General features: G+C 56.7%; 2 protein-coding genes across 14 annotated transcripts in view, besides 9 other annotated features; one reads left to right on the top strand and one right to left on the bottom strand.

Annotated features, from left to right (window-relative positions):
* Positions 1–7384, top strand: part of STRA6 (signaling receptor and transporter of retinol STRA6) — a 32794-nt gene extending 25410 nt beyond the window's left edge. For 10 of the 12 annotated variants that reach the window (NM_001437994.1, XM_017022479.2, NM_001199040.2 and 7 more), the window contains exons 13-19: positions 1795–1870; positions 2861–2994; positions 4390–4507; positions 4588–4689; positions 5392–5555; positions 5913–6068; positions 6607–7384. In NM_001437994.1, the coding sequence (NP_001424923.1) occupies positions 1795–1870; positions 2861–2994; positions 4390–4507; positions 4588–4689; positions 5392–5555; positions 5913–6068; positions 6607–6770 (914 nt within the window). In that variant the 3' untranslated portion in view covers positions 6771–7384. Of the gene's footprint in view, positions 1–1288; positions 1540–1794; positions 1871–2860; positions 2995–4389; positions 4508–4587; positions 4690–5391; positions 5556–5912; positions 6069–6606 lie in introns of those variants that run through there. The other 2 variants (XR_931877.3, XM_011521885.3) reach the window with 2 other exon arrangements.
* Positions 1474–2673: an enhancer, noted in NCBI's record as "CDK7 strongly-dependent group 2 enhancer chr15:74476518-74477717 (GRCh37/hg19 assembly coordinates)". NCBI's record gives its function as "activates an origin of replication core promoter dependent on BRD2, BRD4, P300/CBP, MED14 and CDK7 cofactors, with strong dependence on CDK7, by STARR-seq in HCT116 cells {active_cell/tissue: HCT116}" and the evidence as "EXISTENCE:reporter gene assay evidence [ECO:0000049][PMID:35650434]".
* Positions 1682–1741: an enhancer, noted in NCBI's record as "active region_9745". NCBI's record gives its function as "activates an Ori minimal core promoter by ATAC-STARR-seq in GM12878 lymphoblastoid cells {active_cell/tissue: GM12878}" and the evidence as "EXISTENCE:reporter gene assay evidence [ECO:0000049][PMID:35858748]".
* Positions 2352–2506: a silencer, noted in NCBI's record as "fragment chr15:74476685-74476839 (GRCh37/hg19 assembly coordinates)". NCBI's record gives its function as "represses an EF-1alpha promoter that drives an FKBP-Casp9 reporter gene in an ReSE screen in HepG2 liver carcinoma cells {active_cell/tissue: HepG2}" and the evidence as "EXISTENCE:reporter gene assay evidence [ECO:0000049][PMID:32094911]".
* Positions 5178–5714: an enhancer, noted in NCBI's record as "H3K4me1 hESC enhancer chr15:74473477-74474013 (GRCh37/hg19 assembly coordinates)". NCBI's record gives its function as "activates a minimal SCP1, AML or CMV promoter by ChIP-STARR-seq in naive H9 embryonic stem cells {active_cell/tissue: H9 hESC(naive)}" and the evidence as "EXISTENCE:reporter gene assay evidence [ECO:0000049][PMID:30033119]".
* Positions 7729–7898: an enhancer, noted in NCBI's record as "experimental_40888 CRE fragment used in MPRA reporter constructs". NCBI's record gives its function as "activates a minimal promoter by MPRAs in K562 erythroleukemia cells, with activity observed for the introgressed 15:74471378 variant allele {active_cell/tissue: K562}" and the evidence as "EXISTENCE:reporter gene assay evidence [ECO:0000049][PMID:34662402]".
* Positions 9806–10322: an enhancer, noted in NCBI's record as "H3K4me1 hESC enhancer chr15:74468869-74469385 (GRCh37/hg19 assembly coordinates)". NCBI's record gives its function as "activates a minimal SCP1, AML or CMV promoter by ChIP-STARR-seq in naive H9 embryonic stem cells {active_cell/tissue: H9 hESC(naive)}" and the evidence as "EXISTENCE:reporter gene assay evidence [ECO:0000049][PMID:30033119]".
* On the bottom strand, positions 9979–13140 carry ISLR (immunoglobulin superfamily containing leucine rich repeat). Of its 2 annotated transcripts, none has more exons than NM_005545.4 (2): positions 12831–13140; positions 9979–11999 (listed from the first exon to the last, which is right to left on the bottom strand). In NM_005545.4, exon 2 carries the CDS (start codon positions 11989–11991, stop codon positions 10705–10707), a length of 1287 nt encoding a protein of 428 aa, NP_005536.1. In that variant the 5' UTR covers positions 11992–11999; positions 12831–13140; the 3' UTR covers positions 9979–10704. The 2 variants fall into 2 exon arrangements, with proteins under 2 accessions (NP_005536.1, NP_958934.1); NM_201526.2 differs by lacking the exon at positions 12831–13140 and adding an exon at positions 12197–12303.
* Positions 11430–12418: an enhancer, noted in NCBI's record as "H3K4me1 hESC enhancer chr15:74466773-74467761 (GRCh37/hg19 assembly coordinates)". NCBI's record gives its function as "activates a minimal SCP1, AML or CMV promoter by ChIP-STARR-seq in naive H9 embryonic stem cells {active_cell/tissue: H9 hESC(naive)}" and the evidence as "EXISTENCE:reporter gene assay evidence [ECO:0000049][PMID:30033119]".
* Positions 12419–13406: an enhancer, noted in NCBI's record as "H3K4me1 hESC enhancer chr15:74465785-74466772 (GRCh37/hg19 assembly coordinates)". NCBI's record gives its function as "activates a minimal SCP1, AML or CMV promoter by ChIP-STARR-seq in primed H9 embryonic stem cells {active_cell/tissue: H9 hESC(primed)}" and the evidence as "EXISTENCE:reporter gene assay evidence [ECO:0000049][PMID:30033119]".
* Positions 13407–14395: an enhancer, noted in NCBI's record as "H3K4me1 hESC enhancer chr15:74464796-74465784 (GRCh37/hg19 assembly coordinates)". NCBI's record gives its function as "activates a minimal SCP1, AML or CMV promoter by ChIP-STARR-seq in primed H9 embryonic stem cells {active_cell/tissue: H9 hESC(primed)}" and the evidence as "EXISTENCE:reporter gene assay evidence [ECO:0000049][PMID:30033119]".

Below are 14433 nucleotides of genomic sequence, written 5' to 3'. Positions count from 1 at the left end.
CCTACTGAATCAGAAACTCTCAGAGTGGGGCCCAGCCTCTTTGAGTGAACAGCCCTCCCAGTGATTTTTTTTTTCTTTTGAGATGGAGTTGTGCTCTGTCGCCCAGGCTGGAGTGCAGTGGTGCAATCTCGGCTCACTGCAACCTCCACCTCCTGGGTTCAAGCAATTCTCCCATTTCAGCCTCCCGAGTAGCTGGGATTACAGGCACATACCACCAGGCCCGGCTAATTTTGTTTTGTTTTGAGACGGAGTCTCATTCTGTCTCCCAGGGTGGAGTGCCGTGGCACAATCTCGGCTCACTGCAACCTCCGTCTCTCAGGTTCAAGTGATTCTCCCATCTCAGCCTCCCGAGTAGCTGGGATTACAGGGGCCCGCCACCAGGCCTGGCTAATTTTTGTATTTTTAGTAGAGACGGAGTTTCACCATATTGGTCAGGCTGGTCTCGAACTTCTGACCCCAGGTGATCCACCGCCTCAGCCTTCCAAAGTGTTGGGATCACAGTCCCAGTGATTCTCATGCAAGCAAAGTTTGATCACCACTGTAGTAGGCACCCAATAAATATTGGTTGGTTGGTTGATTTCAATTCATTTCTGATGGAAATAAATCATGAAGGCTCTGCCTTTGGAAAGCCCCCAGAGCAGTGGCTGTCAGTCCTGACTGCACACTGAATCACCAGTGTTGCTTTCACAGGCTAAGGCTGGGTCCCACCCACAGAAATTCTGATTTAACTGGTTTGGGTGCAGGCTGGGCTATGGGCGAGTTTTAGCAGCTCCAGGTGATCCTAAAGGCGCTATCGGTGCTGAGATCCACCACTCTAATCCCTGTGGCTATGTGGAACTAGCACTCACCTTTTCTGTGTTTGCTCTCCCCGTCCTTGAGATTCTGGTGGTGACACGGGCACCAGGAACACTTCCCTGGACTGACTGATGAGATCAGGGTGCAGGCATCTCAGGCTCATTCTGGATCTGCTTAGAAATGGTTACACACCTCACTCTATCATTCCTAGCAGCATGGCTGTCTGGGCGAAGCCCTCTCTCTGAGCCTCAGCTTCCTCTTCAGCCCAGTGGGAACAGTTCTTCTGTCTAACCTTGCGGGGTTGCTGTTACAGTCCAGAGCAAGACTGGATGTGGACGTAAGGTGGGAGAGTTGCAGCCTGCACCCCTGAAATTCTTAAACACCCAGGCTTGTTCATGACACACCATCATGCACACACTCATTGTGTGCATGGCCAGGGAGAGGGTGAGGGAGCTGGGTGACAGCGGCTGCCTCCCTATTCTGATGGACTCAGTCCACACCGATGTGGACTCACACCCTCTATGCCCTGAACGAAGACCATTAGTGCAGACGTGGATGGGGCCTTATGGCTCACATTATCCTGAGAGCTGGGCAGCATAACGGCGTGCGGTATGTTCACGAGCAAATGGGGGCCTGGGGAGAAGGAGTGCCCTCCTGAAGGCCACATGGCCAAGAAGCAGTGAAGCTGGAGGCAGATGCCAGGTTGGATGGAGGTCCCACAGCAATAGAAGCAGCAACAGCAGGGTGAGGACTAGGTCTGCAGACTCAGAGCTGGTTTCATCTCTTGACCACTGTATGTCACTGGGAAGAATGGGGTGGCCGAAGTCATTGGCTTACACTGCATCTGAGACCTGGGGGTGGGGCCAAGAGGCTTCCACACAGAGTTCAGTTTGGGGCAGGGGGAACTCCCCACAAGGCACCACCCTGGCAGGGGTTCTGAGGCCTCCAGGAGACTCTCCAGACCCTGACCTCTCACTTTGCTCATTCTCTGCCCACCAGTGTGCTACATCTCAGCCTTGGTCTTGTCCTGCTTACTCACCTTCCTGGTCCTGATGCGCTCACTGGTGACACACAGGTGAGTGACAGACTCTGGCTCACCCAGCGCCGAGGTGGGGAAGGAGTGGGAGTCCTGTGGGCCTGCGGGGAGGCCCTGGGCCTGGAGGGAGGGAAGGGCTCTGCCGGCCCGGGCTGTCATGGAGCCCACCTGTGCGTGGCTGCGCTGCAGTGGGAGAAGGTGGGGCTGGGTCCTGCCCTTGGGCCTTCCTGTCTGGTTGGGGAAACGTCTGTGAGTGTGAGGGACATAGGGCACCACCAACTCAGGGCAGCTAGTGGAGCTTGCCCCCTGAGTAGGGGCCACCGGGTGGGCTGGATGAGAGGGAAGGTGGCCTGGGGAAGCTGCACCTGCCCGGGAATGGAAGGAGATAGGAGGTGAGGACTGTGTGGACGAGAACAGAGGCTGGGGTGGCCCTGCCATGTGAGAGTGTAGGTGAGGGGTAGCCTGGTGGCATAGCACACTGGAGAGGTGGTACGGGTCTCGCCATGCCACCTTGCTTGCCCTGCAGCGGTGAGTGGTGAGGAGCACTGAAGGCCCAGGGCAGGTGGAAGGGGCAGCCCGAGCACTTACCCATGTCAGAGAACTGGCCCATGTCTCCTGCGCACTTGCCAGGTCTCAGAGCTCTTCCCAGGGATCTTTTTCCACAGGTCACCCCTCCTTCTTCTGGCATTCAAGGCTCCTCAGCCTGTGCTTGCCTTGCCTCTTTACCTGTTGGCTGTGCTGTGTGTCACTTCCATTCTCACTGTTGTTTCTCACTTTTCTGACTTGGCTCAGGTTGAGCCTTCTGCCTCGTTTTGTATTCCTCGTTCACTGTTTAAGACTACCCAGATATCACCTCTTCCAGATATCTTGGGTTAGTGGCCTCCTCCTGGCTCCCACAGTTCTGGGCTTCCCTGCTGATGGCTGTGAGTTGAAATTCTATTGGGAGTTTGGCCAGTTGCTGGCCCAGAGGAGGATTTAGGAAGAGTGTGTTGCTCCCTGAGGTCTCTGCCTCCCTGGCTCCCACCCCAGGACCAACCTTCGAGCTCTGCACCGAGGAGCTGCCCTGGACTTGAGTCCCTTGCATCGGAGTCCCCATCCCTCCCGCCAAGCCATATTCTGTTGGATGAGCTTCAGTGCCTACCAGACAGCCTTTATCTGCCTTGGTGAGCCTCCCTTGCCCGCCACACCCAGCCTTGGCCTGGGCCTCCCCTCAGACACTGGCCTCAGTTGGGGAGAAGAGTGCTCAGCAAGTACTGCCCTCAGAGTTTGTCTGGGAATGCTCTGGGGCAGCAGCAAGAAGGAGGGACCCCCCTGCCTTCCCTGCCCTTAAGAAGCTTATTCAGGATGGGGGTACAGGAGCCCTCGGGAAATTGAGTGTGTACCCTCCACATGGAGATGAACCCTGGGTGCCACCAAGTATTCACATGGGGGTGGACCCAGGTCTGGAGGTGTCAAATTCAAAATGGTACATTCCTGGCTGGGCTCAGTGGCTCACACCTGTAATCCCAGCACTTTGGGAGGCTGAGGCAGGTGGATCACGAAGTCAGGAGATGAAGACCAGCCTGGCCAACATGGTGAGACCCCGTCTCTACTAAAAATACAAAAATTAGCCGGGTATGGTGGTGTGCACCTGCAGTTCCAGCTATTCGGGAGGATGAGGCAGGAGAATCGCTTGAACCCAGGAGGTGGAGGTTGCAGTGAGCCGAGATTGCACCACTGCGCTCCAGCTTAAGAAAGGGCTGTGTCACATTTGGCTACCTACAAAGGTAATGAGATCCCTGTCACTGGGGGTATGCAAGCAGAGTTCCATGGATATTGTTGCAGTCTGCAAAGGGGGTCCTGCCCTGAGAGAGTTGGACCAGATAACCTTCCAGGACCCCTACCAGCCCCAAGTTTCTGACTCTCCCCTTGGGTACTGCAGTGAGAAAAGCACTCTGAATGGTGAGGGGCTGTGGCCTGGGTTGCACATCCAAGGGCCTTGTATCTCTCCCTCCAGTTCCTTCCATTCTCACCTCCTTGCGGGAGGAGAAGGATGGTAAAGGAGTAGATGAATTACTAGGACAAAAGTCATAGCGTCTCTTCTTGGTAGCCCTTATGCCTCCAGGCCCTTTTGTAGACATCATTCTCTAATCAGTTGGCCAGATTATTTCAATAGACAGTCCTTGGGCACCTACCGTATGCCAGGCTCTGGCTTGAAGGAATGCAAACATCAGTTTAATATGTAGCCTTATCCCCCAGTAACTCAAACTCAGGAGAAACTGGAGGGAAATAACATTTGCAAAGTATTTTGTGATTTTAAGAGTTTCCACAGACATTATCTCATTGGATCCTTACAACAGCCTCTGAGGTAGGGACTATTATCCCCATTTTACAGAGGAAGAAACTGAGGCTCAATGAAGTAAAGTGATTTGTTCAAGGCAGCATAGCTAGGCAGTGGCAGAGCAGAGATCTAAAACCAGGCCTGCCCAATCCCAAAGCCCTTGGTTCTGGGGGCAGCGGGGATGGCCAGTTTTCATGGAACCTGTTTTCTGTCCCCCTGCCACTCCCGCCCCTGGCAGGGCTCCTGGTGCAGCAGATCATCTTCTTCCTGGGAACCACGGCCCTGGCCTTCCTGGTGCTCATGCCTGTGCTCCATGGCAGGAACCTCCTGCTCTTCCGTTCCCTGGAGTCCTCGTGGTGAGTGAAACAAGACATGGAGGGCTCAGGGACTCCTTAGAGGTCCGCTAACAGCGACCACCTCCCCACCCCACTGGCAGGCCCTTCTGGCTGACTTTGGCCCTGGCTGTGATCCTGCAGAACATGGCAGCCCATTGGGTCTTCCTGGAGACTCATGATGGACACCCACAGCTGACCAACCGGTGAGGTGGCATCTGGGCTTGTGGCTCCCTCAGGCCCTCGCCTCTTCTTCGGTGTCTCTCTCTTTTTGTGTCCTCCCTCCACTGCCATCTATCCCTTCTCTCTATCAAGGAACCCAGATGATAGTAGAAAGAGCTTGCCTTACCCATAGAGAAAAGGGACAATGGCTCAGCCCACTCCAAAGTACCTCTCTACATACCCGGCATGGGGCTGGAAGTACCCCCGTGAACCTTTCTTGCTTTGGGAATCGGTACTGCTCTCCCCTGGATCCTCTGTTTCCTTAAAACCATGCCCCTCCCCACTTTGTAGCAAGGGAGTTCCCTGTCAGATGACAAGTCTGTGGGAGAACCTTGGCTCCCAGGGGAACTTGGAATTAGCAGACAGGGGACCCAGAAAAGGGAGGTGGGAGGCATCAGGGTCATAGAAAGACTCAGATGGACCTAGAGTTAAAGCCCAGCTCTGCCACTGAATAGCTGACAGCCTTGGCTAAGTCTCCCAATCTCTCTGGGCCTCAGTTTCCCATCTCCCAGCATGGTGGGTTGAAAGAGAGAAGGCCTTGCCCAGGGTGGGGTGCACAGAAGACATAGCAATAAATGGTAGGCACTCAGTAAATACACAGCAGTTCTGGGCATCCAGGTCTGACACTGACCCTGGGGAGGGAGCTCTGGGGAACGGCCTGCCTCAGCTTTCTTCTCCCATCCTAGGCGAGTGCTCTATGCAGCCACCTTTCTTCTCTTCCCCCTCAATGTGCTGGTGGGTGCCATGGTGGCCACCTGGCGAGTGCTCCTCTCTGCCCTCTACAACGCCATCCACCTTGGCCAGATGGACCTCAGCCTGCTGCCACCGAGAGCCGCCACTCTCGACCCCGGTAAGGTCACTGGGCGGGGCTGGAGGATTGCTCAGGCTACCCAAGCAGTGAGGAAGGCATCTGCCCTGCCCCAGGGCCGTGCCAGCTGATCAGTTCACACCGATGCCTGTAGCTGCATGTGCCACCTGTGTGCCCCTGCGCTGTGCCTCCTGTGGCCCTGCAGCACGTGCAGTGGATGTGGGGTGTTCTAGCAGGTCCACACGTGCCCATGCAGCCAATGTGCCACGTGCTTGGTGTGTCGACATGCTTGGATGCAGGGAGTGCACGTGCACTCCCTGTGTGTGTGTTAGGGGATGTCTGGATGCCTCCAGTGTGGCCCCTGCTCCCCCAGCATTGCCATCCGCCACCCCACCCCAGGCTACTACACGTACCGAAACTTCTTGAAGATTGAAGTCAGCCAGTCGCATCCAGCCATGACAGCCTTCTGCTCCCTGCTCCTGCAAGCGCAGAGCCTCCTACCCAGGACCATGGCAGCCCCCCAGGACAGCCTCAGACCAGGGGAGGAAGACGAAGGTGCGCCCTCCCACTGGGAATGGGGGAATAGAGCCTACCCAGCTTCTTCTAGGAAGGATGTGTGCCCCTCCCCAGCACACAGAGTGAGCGCCAGGAAAATTCTCACTTCCTCTCTTCCTTGGCTGCCTTTGGTCACCCCTCCTGGTCTGATCTCAGGGTGATTTTTTCCATGATATGAACACACACATACACACACCATATGTGTGCACACAGAGAGAATGAAACAGCTGCCTTCCTAAGGGGCTCCGTCACTGCCCCCGCTTCTCCCTTGGGGCAGGGAGTATGACTCCTCCTTTCCTTCTGCCCAGAAGTGTGTGTAGGGAGGGGACACTAAGCCAGCTCCAGACCCTTGTCCCACCCAGCTTCCAGTCCATCCACAGACCTCACCCCCCACTTCCATGTGCTGCCTGCAGGGGACATCCTAAGCCTCACGACCTGCACACGCCTGGGATTTTCAGGCTCTCTGATCAGGTCTGAGGGCCAGGGAGGGTTGGCTGGGTGTTTGCTGAGTGACTCACAGAAAGTCCGTCTCTCTCAGGGATGCAGCTGCTACAGACAAAGGACTCCATGGCCAAGGGAGCTAGGCCCGGGGCCAGCCGCGGCAGGGCTCGCTGGGGTCTGGCCTACACGCTGCTGCACAACCCAACCCTGCAGGTCTTCCGCAAGACGGCCCTGTTGGGTGCCAATGGTGCCCAGCCCTGAGGGCAGGGAAGGTCAACCCACCTGCCCATCTGTGCTGAGGCATGTTCCTGCCTACCATCCTCCTCCCTCCCCGGCTCTCCTCCCAGCATCACACCAGCCATGCAGCCAGCAGGTCCTCCGGATCACTGTGGTTGGGTGGAGGTCTGTCTGCACTGGGAGCCTCAGGAGGGCTCTGCTCCACCCACTTGGCTATGGGAGAGCCAGCAGGGGTTCTGGAGAAAGAAACTGGTGGGTTAGGGCCTTGGTCCAGGAGCCAGTTGAGCCAGGGCAGCCACATCCAGGCGTCTCCCTACCCTGGCTCTGCCATCAGCCTTGAAGGGCCTCGATGAAGCCTTCTCTGGAACCACTCCAGCCCAGCTCCACCTCAGCCTTGGCCTTCACGCTGTGGAAGCAGCCAAGGCACTTCCTCACCCCCTCAGCGCCACGGACCTCTCTGGGGAGTGGCCGGAAAGCTCCCGGGCCTCTGGCCTGCAGGGCAGCCCAAGTCATGACTCAGACCAGGTCCCACACTGAGCTGCCCACACTCGAGAGCCAGATATTTTTGTAGTTTTTATGCCTTTGGCTATTATGAAAGAGGTTAGTGTGTTCCCTGCAATAAACTTGTTCCTGAGAAACTGTCCTCATAGCGGGAGGGGTATGCAGGGAAAACCCCGCCTACACTGTCAGGAACACTGTGCATTGATGGGGATGGGGCTTGGGGTGTTCTGGTCACATGCTGGGCCAGACACTGGGTGGAAGGCAGAACCCATAGCTGCATCCTTTTGGGTGGCAAAGAGACTGGGGACCCTATGATGCCACCCCTGAGCCATGTGAATGCTGGCTTTGGAAGTGGGACTTATTCTGGGTCTTGAAGAAGGGGCAGGATCTGGGGAGGAGAAGCGACTTCAGGAATGCTGGGGAAGCAGTGTGACTCCAGGTGTGGAGGTAGGAAGGGGCGTGTCACATGGGGGGACATAGCGTAGGCTGTCCTGATGGGAGGAGAATGAGAATACGGAGGGGAAAGGAGGGTGGAGACAGACTGGGGTCTTTTCCCTACTGGGGGCTTGGTGGAGGTGGAGGGCGGGGTATATGAATAAAGAACATGCCCTGGGTCCACTGAGGGGCTGGGGGCTACAGAGGGTAGGAAGATGTGGCCACCCTACAGATCTAGGTCAGCAGGGCCTTGAGAAATGCCTGCACAGTTAGTGGAGATCAACAGTCCCCTGCCCCAAGCTCAGGTTCCTGCTACAGCCTCAAATACCTGTAAAGCCAGGGGTGGGGTCAGGGACCTGAAACCCACTTTCAAGGCTGCCCCGAGGAGGCCAAAGAGGGCACACTGTGATCCCACTGCAGCCCGTTGAAAAAGGCTTCCTGACCTTGTTTCAGCAACTAACAGGGTCTCAGGGGAGGAGAATCCAGGTTCCCAGAGAAAGGGGGCCTGTTCACATTGGGGATGGGGGAACATCCAGGAAGGCTTTCTGGAGGTGGTGATGCCAGAGCCCACTCTCAAAGACTGACTTAGCCAAATGAAGAACAGGGAAAGGGTGCCTGGGCGGAGGGAACAGTATAAGCAAAGGTGCAGAGGATGGCACACCATGGAACATTAAGGGAACAATTAAATAGCTGTTCCAAGAAGAGGAAGGAAGGGTGCGCTTGTTGGAGGAGCAGGTCAGAGAGGCTCTAAGTGGGGAATTCAGGCTTTACCTGGAGGGCAGTGGGGACCACGGAAGACCTTAAAGCAGGGGAGCAGCTAGTCCACTCAAGGCACAGCCATTCCCTGTGTTAGGTCTTAGGTCCATGTCCTACTCCAAGAAGCCAAGCCACTCAGCTAGGAATGGAGCCAGGGATGTCCAAGTCAGGCTGGGAATATCAAGCCTTAGGCAATCAGAGTCTATTGGACCATGAAGTAGCACCTAGTCCTACCATGTCATTTGGTTTTTGAGGCAACTGAAGCCCAGACGTGGGCAATGACTTACCCAAGGTGGCCTAGCGCATGGAATTTGGCTCCATCCTGCTGTTTTCCACCAGACGTGAGTCATTTTTTTCAACTTTTATTTTAGATTAGGAGTCATTCTTGATACATGCTGCTGGTGACATCAGCTCAGCAGGAGCTGCAAGTTGATGAGGGGAGAGTGGGCAGGGGGAGGTGCTGTATGTGGACCTGGAGGGAGGGAATGGGGCTGGCCAGCAGCCAAGGCTCACAGCTGCTACCCCAGACTCCTTAGCATCCTGCCTCCACTTTGCTGAGCTCAGCAGTTCTGGGAGCTCTGGAGAAAGGCCACAGAGCCTCTCCCCCAGGCCATTGTCTCTGCATGCAGCATCCTCGATCTTGAAAGGGATGGGATAGAGGCAGTAGGAAGACATATATCCTACCTGGCACAGATAGGAGGTTGTGCAGAGTCTCCAGGTTAGGACCTCATCCTTATGCTCCTCATCTGGAGAGGCTGAAGGTTGCTGTACACACACACACACACATGCACTGGAGAGGCTGAAGGTTGCTGTACACACACACACACGCACCGCTCAGGTTGCTGTACACACACACACACACACACACACACACACACACACACGGCCCAGGCCAGTTACTGATCCACTTGCTCTGTGGGGAAAGATTCCTACAGGGAATCTGCAGTCCTCATTTGGACTTTCCTCTTGGAATACCATTTCTTCTTTGGGAGAAAGATAAGTACGATTTGTTTCCCCCCTGGTTTCTCCCTCAAATATGTAAATATGTTCTCTTATTCCCAGTCTCTCTGGGGCTTTCTCCTCCTCTGTCCTGTGTCCCCTTCTCCTCATCTGTCTCCTCCATCTTGCCCCACCTGTCCCCTCTTTCCTCTTCATTCCTAACATCTCTTCCAGGAGCAGGACAGGGAAGAGGAGCTACCACCCAGGCACTTCCATTTCCTTGCGCCTTTCCAAAATGCCTCTCTTGAAGCCACTGCTGACATCAGGCGCTGCTCAGGGTCGCCAGCCACCCCAGGCTCCTGCCCCCAGCTGTCCTGTGGGATGGTTTGGAGGAAGGGAACATCTGCAGCTCAGCTCACCGCAAGGCCCAGCCCCTGACACAGCATCGGGCCAGCACTCCTGTGCCTCCACAGTCTGTTGGAGTCTCAGAGGCCCCTGCCACTGTGGGCAGGCAGGCTGGCTGCCCTGACTCTTCAGCTCCTGATCCTATCTCCCAGCAGAGGCTCCTAGATCCAGACAAAATTCCAGGCAGACACGGAGGGGCATCAGAAATGCTGTTTATTTCTCTGCTGCTCCCAAGCTGGCTGGCCTTTGCAGAGGAGCAGACAACAGATGCATAGTTGGGGAGAAAGGGAGGACAGGTTCCAGGATAGAGGTTGCAGGCTGAGGGAGGAAGGGTAAGAGGAAGGAAGGCCATCCTGGATCCCCACATTTCAGTCTCAGATGAGGACAAAGGGACTCCCAAGCCCCCAAATCATCAGAAAACAGCAAGGAGCAGGAGGAGCTTGAGCAGGCCCCAGGGAGCCTCAGAGCCATACCAGCCACTGTCTACTTCCCATCCTCCTCTCCCATTCCCTGTCTGCTTCAGACCACCTCCCAGCTAAGCCCCAGCTCCATTCCCCCAATCCTGGCCCTTGCCAGCTTGACAGTCACAGTGCCTGGAATTCCACCACTGAGGCTTCTCCCAGTTGGATTAGGACGTCGCCCCGTTAGCATGCTGCCCCTGAGAGGAGAGCACAGGCAATGCTGTTAGCAGCAATGAGCACCGCAGACAGTGAGTTAGGGGATCAAATTCTATCCTAGTCACTAGTTTGGAGCAGGTCTAGAAGTTGGGGATAGCAGGTGCTCTAGAAGAGATTAGAAGGAGAGGTAGGAAAATGTGAAGTCACCCATGCAGGCCTCAGGAGTTGCCAACCCCAGACCCCTGCAGCACTTAAAGGGGCATTGGTAGGGGCAAGGGGAGGAGTTAGGGAAGCCCTGGGTGGGGCTAGAAGGAGGTGAGGAAGAAGAAGAGGAGGAGGCTTTGGCCCAGCAGGAGCAGGCCTGGGGGCAGCTGCCCAGGGACCCCTTCTGCGACTGCAGCCTCAGGGTTCCCAGCACGGCTGAGGTAGATGATGACCACATTGTCCTCCGGCCCTGATGGCTGCACCTCGTTGTCAACCGTATAGCAGCCCTTTCCCTCAACCGCTTTGCCATGGAACCTGCGCCCCAGTGTGTCCTCACCACCCTCACCGGGCGTGGCCAGTGCCACGTCCACTGAGCTCTCAGCACTGCCCAGCTCATTGGTGGCCAGGCAGCTGTAGGTGCCTTCCTCCAGCTTGCCAAAGTCGGGGATAAGCAGGCTGCCATTGGCAAAGGCCTGGAAGCGCGGCTGGGAGCTGGCCACAGGGGTGCCAGGCAGGGCACGCCCATCAGTGCCCACGTTGGGGCTGGTGATCTCCACAATGCCACTGGGTATCTGGATGTGCCAGTGAAGCTGAGGGGCCGGCTGCCCGTCCACATCACAGTGCAGTGCCAGCACAAAACCAGGCCGCAGCTCGGCACCATCCTGGCTGGGTTGGTAGCTGAGCTGCACTGAGGGCGCCGAGCATGGCAGTGGCGGCAGGCGGCTCAGCGGCGTACCCTTGAGCACATGGGGTGAGGTGCAGGCGATGTTGTCCTGCTCCGGGATGGACACGGCCGTGGTCAGGGCCCATGTCTTGAGCCACACGATGCCGCAGGTGCAGTCGAAGGGGTTCTCGTTGATCTGCAGGTGGGACAGCGCGGTGAGCGGGGTGAAGGTGCCCTCGGCCAATGTGTGCAAGCGGTTGTGGTTGAGTTGCAGCGAGCGCAGAGCACGGAGGCTGCGGAAGGCGTCGCGGGGGATGAAGGTCAGCTCGTTGCTGTCCATCTTGAGCAATTGGAGGGCACTGAGGTTGTGCAGGTCGCTCCAGGCAAAGTCAGAGATGAGATTGTGGCTGAGGTCCAGGCTCTTGAGATGGCTCAGAGAGGCCAGGGCTCCGGCGGCCACCGTGCGGATCTCATTGTGTGCCAGCCACAGCGACTGCAGCAGGGGCACCTCCCTGAAGGCACCCTCCGGCAAGCCTGGCAGCCGGTTGGCTGACAGGCTCAGTGTAGTCACATTGGCCGGGAAGCCAGGCGGCACGGATTCTAGGTCGCGGTAGGCACAGTCGGCGATCTGGAAGCCATACTTTTCCCCACAGTCGCAGGGCTCAGGGCAGGCCTGAGCCAGGCCCAGGAGAAGCGCCCACCAGAGCAGATGCAGCTCCTGCATGGTGCCTCCTGCAGAGAAAGGCATGTCACCCAGGGGATCCCGAGAACCTGCCAAAGGGACTCATTCCTCCCACAAGCCCAGCCAGAGCTCTTTCCCATCAGGAGGCCCTGTCCCACATAACCCAGCTAAATCCCAACACCACCTAGCCCACCGCCCCCATCCTACGGAAGGAGAAACTGAGGCCAAGAGAAGGGCGGAGACTTGCCCGAGGTCACGCAGCCAGGCAGGATGAAGACGGGATGGAAGAGGACCCCAGCTCCTCCTCCGAGTGGAGAGTTCTCCCTGCCTCGGCCTGTTCCTAGCTGACTTTATGACTTGAAATCTGTTTTCCAGCCACCCCCCTCCCCCAGCACTTTGCAGAACCTCCCCCTGCCCTCCCACATCCTGGCCGCAGTCCCTCCCACCGGAGCCCCCCATAGGTATGCTTTGCCTTGGCCCAGACGAGGCCCCTTGTGCAGTGCACACCACCCCCATCCACTCCACCCGCCCTCTCCCGCTCCTCCGGCCATGACCGCAGCAGACACCAGGCCTTTTCTGTGGAATCACACCCGTGGCCTGTTCTGTTCAAACTTAGCCAGGCAGCTGCCTAAATAAACCCCCGCCAGGACCTCTCAGCTGACTTGGGTGAGGCCAGAGGCTCAGCCCAAACGCAGCTGGGATTTCTGGGGCCTCAGTTGTGGGTTGTGGAAGAAGCAGATGCCCCCTGGACGGCTCCAAGCTAGGGATTGTCCCACGCACCTCAGACCAGCAGGGATGGACCAAGAGGGAACCAGCCCCTATGTCCAACAGGCCTCCCGCTCCCGCCGCTGGCCCTGGAGCCCTCCTCCCCACTGGCTTACCTTCAAGCTACTCTTAGTCAAGCGGAGCCTCTTCTAAGGTGGAACCAAAAAGCAACAGAGGACCTTAGCCCTGAGAGTCTGCAGGGCCACGGGCGCCCAAGGGAGGACTTGGATGCTGGGGCGAGGGGCAGCCTGGTCCCACCCCACCTTCGATGTGCAGGCCTGTGCCCTCCCTGCCCCAGACAGGGTGCCTGGAACCATCCACTGAGAGGAGGCGGCAGGGAGGAGCCCGGGGCAGCCCGCGCACTCCCTCCTTCCAGCAAAACAACTGCTTCTCTGCAGCAACAAGGACCTGTGTTTCATAAGTGACACCAGAAACTTGAGGGGGGAAGAGATGCCAAATTTTTTTGGGTTGTGTTTTTTCTCTCTCTCTCACTCACTTTTAGCAGCTTCAACTTCCTTAAAGACACAGCACTGTCTGGAAAGGACCCAAGAAATGATGGGGCCAGGAGGATTTTAGCGGGGGAAGGGCGAGAAATTGAATCTCATGGAAGGTGGGAGATTTCCACTTCAAACAAGAAAAAACGGGAAGCTTTTGTCCAAGCCAGGGTTGTATGTGTGTTGGTGTGTATACGTGTGTGTGTGTGTACAAGTTTGTGGGTGTGAGGGTGCGTATTTCTGGATTTGTATGTGTGTTTGCATGGATGTGGGTATGAAACCATGTACATGAGTTTGTGTGTGAGTGTGTGTGTGTGTCTGTCTTGGTGTGGGTTTGTGTGTGGAAGTGAGTGTGCATCCATGTGTGTGTGTTTCAGTGAAAAGCCAAGAAGGCCAAAGTGTACAAAGCAGATACCAACCCTTCGGTGAAAGCCAAGATGTTAGGCATTTTTTTTTTTTTTAAGAAAACATATCCTGCTGGCTCTGAGACTGAGCTGCGCTAAATGCATGTTGTTGTCCAGGGAGCTCCCAAGACTCCAGGCCCCGCCCCTCACTGCGCTCCCCACTGGCTGGGGAGGAAACAGGGAGGCCTGGCTCAGAAAACTCAGGGCGGGAGCCTGTTGACCTTCAGTGCTCCTGGCTGGGATTCTGAGCCACCCAGGCCCACTGCCCACTGGGCACCCAGAGGGGAGGCCAAGGGGCCGCACTCCCGGAGAGTTCTCTCTGTGTCCCCCACAGGGCCCAAAATCCCACTGTTGGTGCTGGACATCTACGCGGTCAGCATCGGCCTCTCTGAGCTCCACTGTTCCAACACCAACTGTGTGGAAGGGGCAGACGCCTCCAGGGTGAGGATATGTGACCCCTTTTCCAAACGGGAAGGCCCAGGGGAGGGGAATGGGGAAACAAAAGAGGCCCAAAACGAGGGAGCTGGAAGAGAAACCGAAAGATGAAGGAGCCCAGAAAAGAACTTTGTAGACTGAAGAATTTTGCTCTCCACAGACAAGCCTACCGTATCCCCTCAGTAGCCCTCCCCAAGCTTCCTTGGCCTTCCATCTGATAACTGGTTGAATTCTGCTCATGACTCAACTTACCCTCTCAGCAGGGCCAAGGGCAGACAGGGCTCATCTTTGGCTGAAAGCATCCCCAGGAAGCCTGCCCCAGCTCATCACACCCCATTCCCTGTCACCAAGCAAGGCCACAGAAGTCCCCAGCATGCTGCCTGCAA

Source organism: Homo sapiens, chromosome 15, assembly GCF_000001405.40.
Source record: "Homo sapiens chromosome 15, GRCh38.p14 Primary Assembly".
Taxonomy (NCBI): domain Eukaryota; kingdom Metazoa; phylum Chordata; class Mammalia; order Primates; family Hominidae; genus Homo; species Homo sapiens.
The sequence above is the reverse complement of the archived record's forward strand: the minus strand, read 5'-3'. Positions and strand labels throughout refer to the sequence as shown.

What these genes read in the sequence shown, in the direction of transcription:
- ISLR (NM_005545.4), bottom strand. Translation starts at nt 11,991, where the DNA reads ATGCAGGAGCTGCATCTGCTCTGGTGGGCGCTTCTCCTGGGCCTGGCT.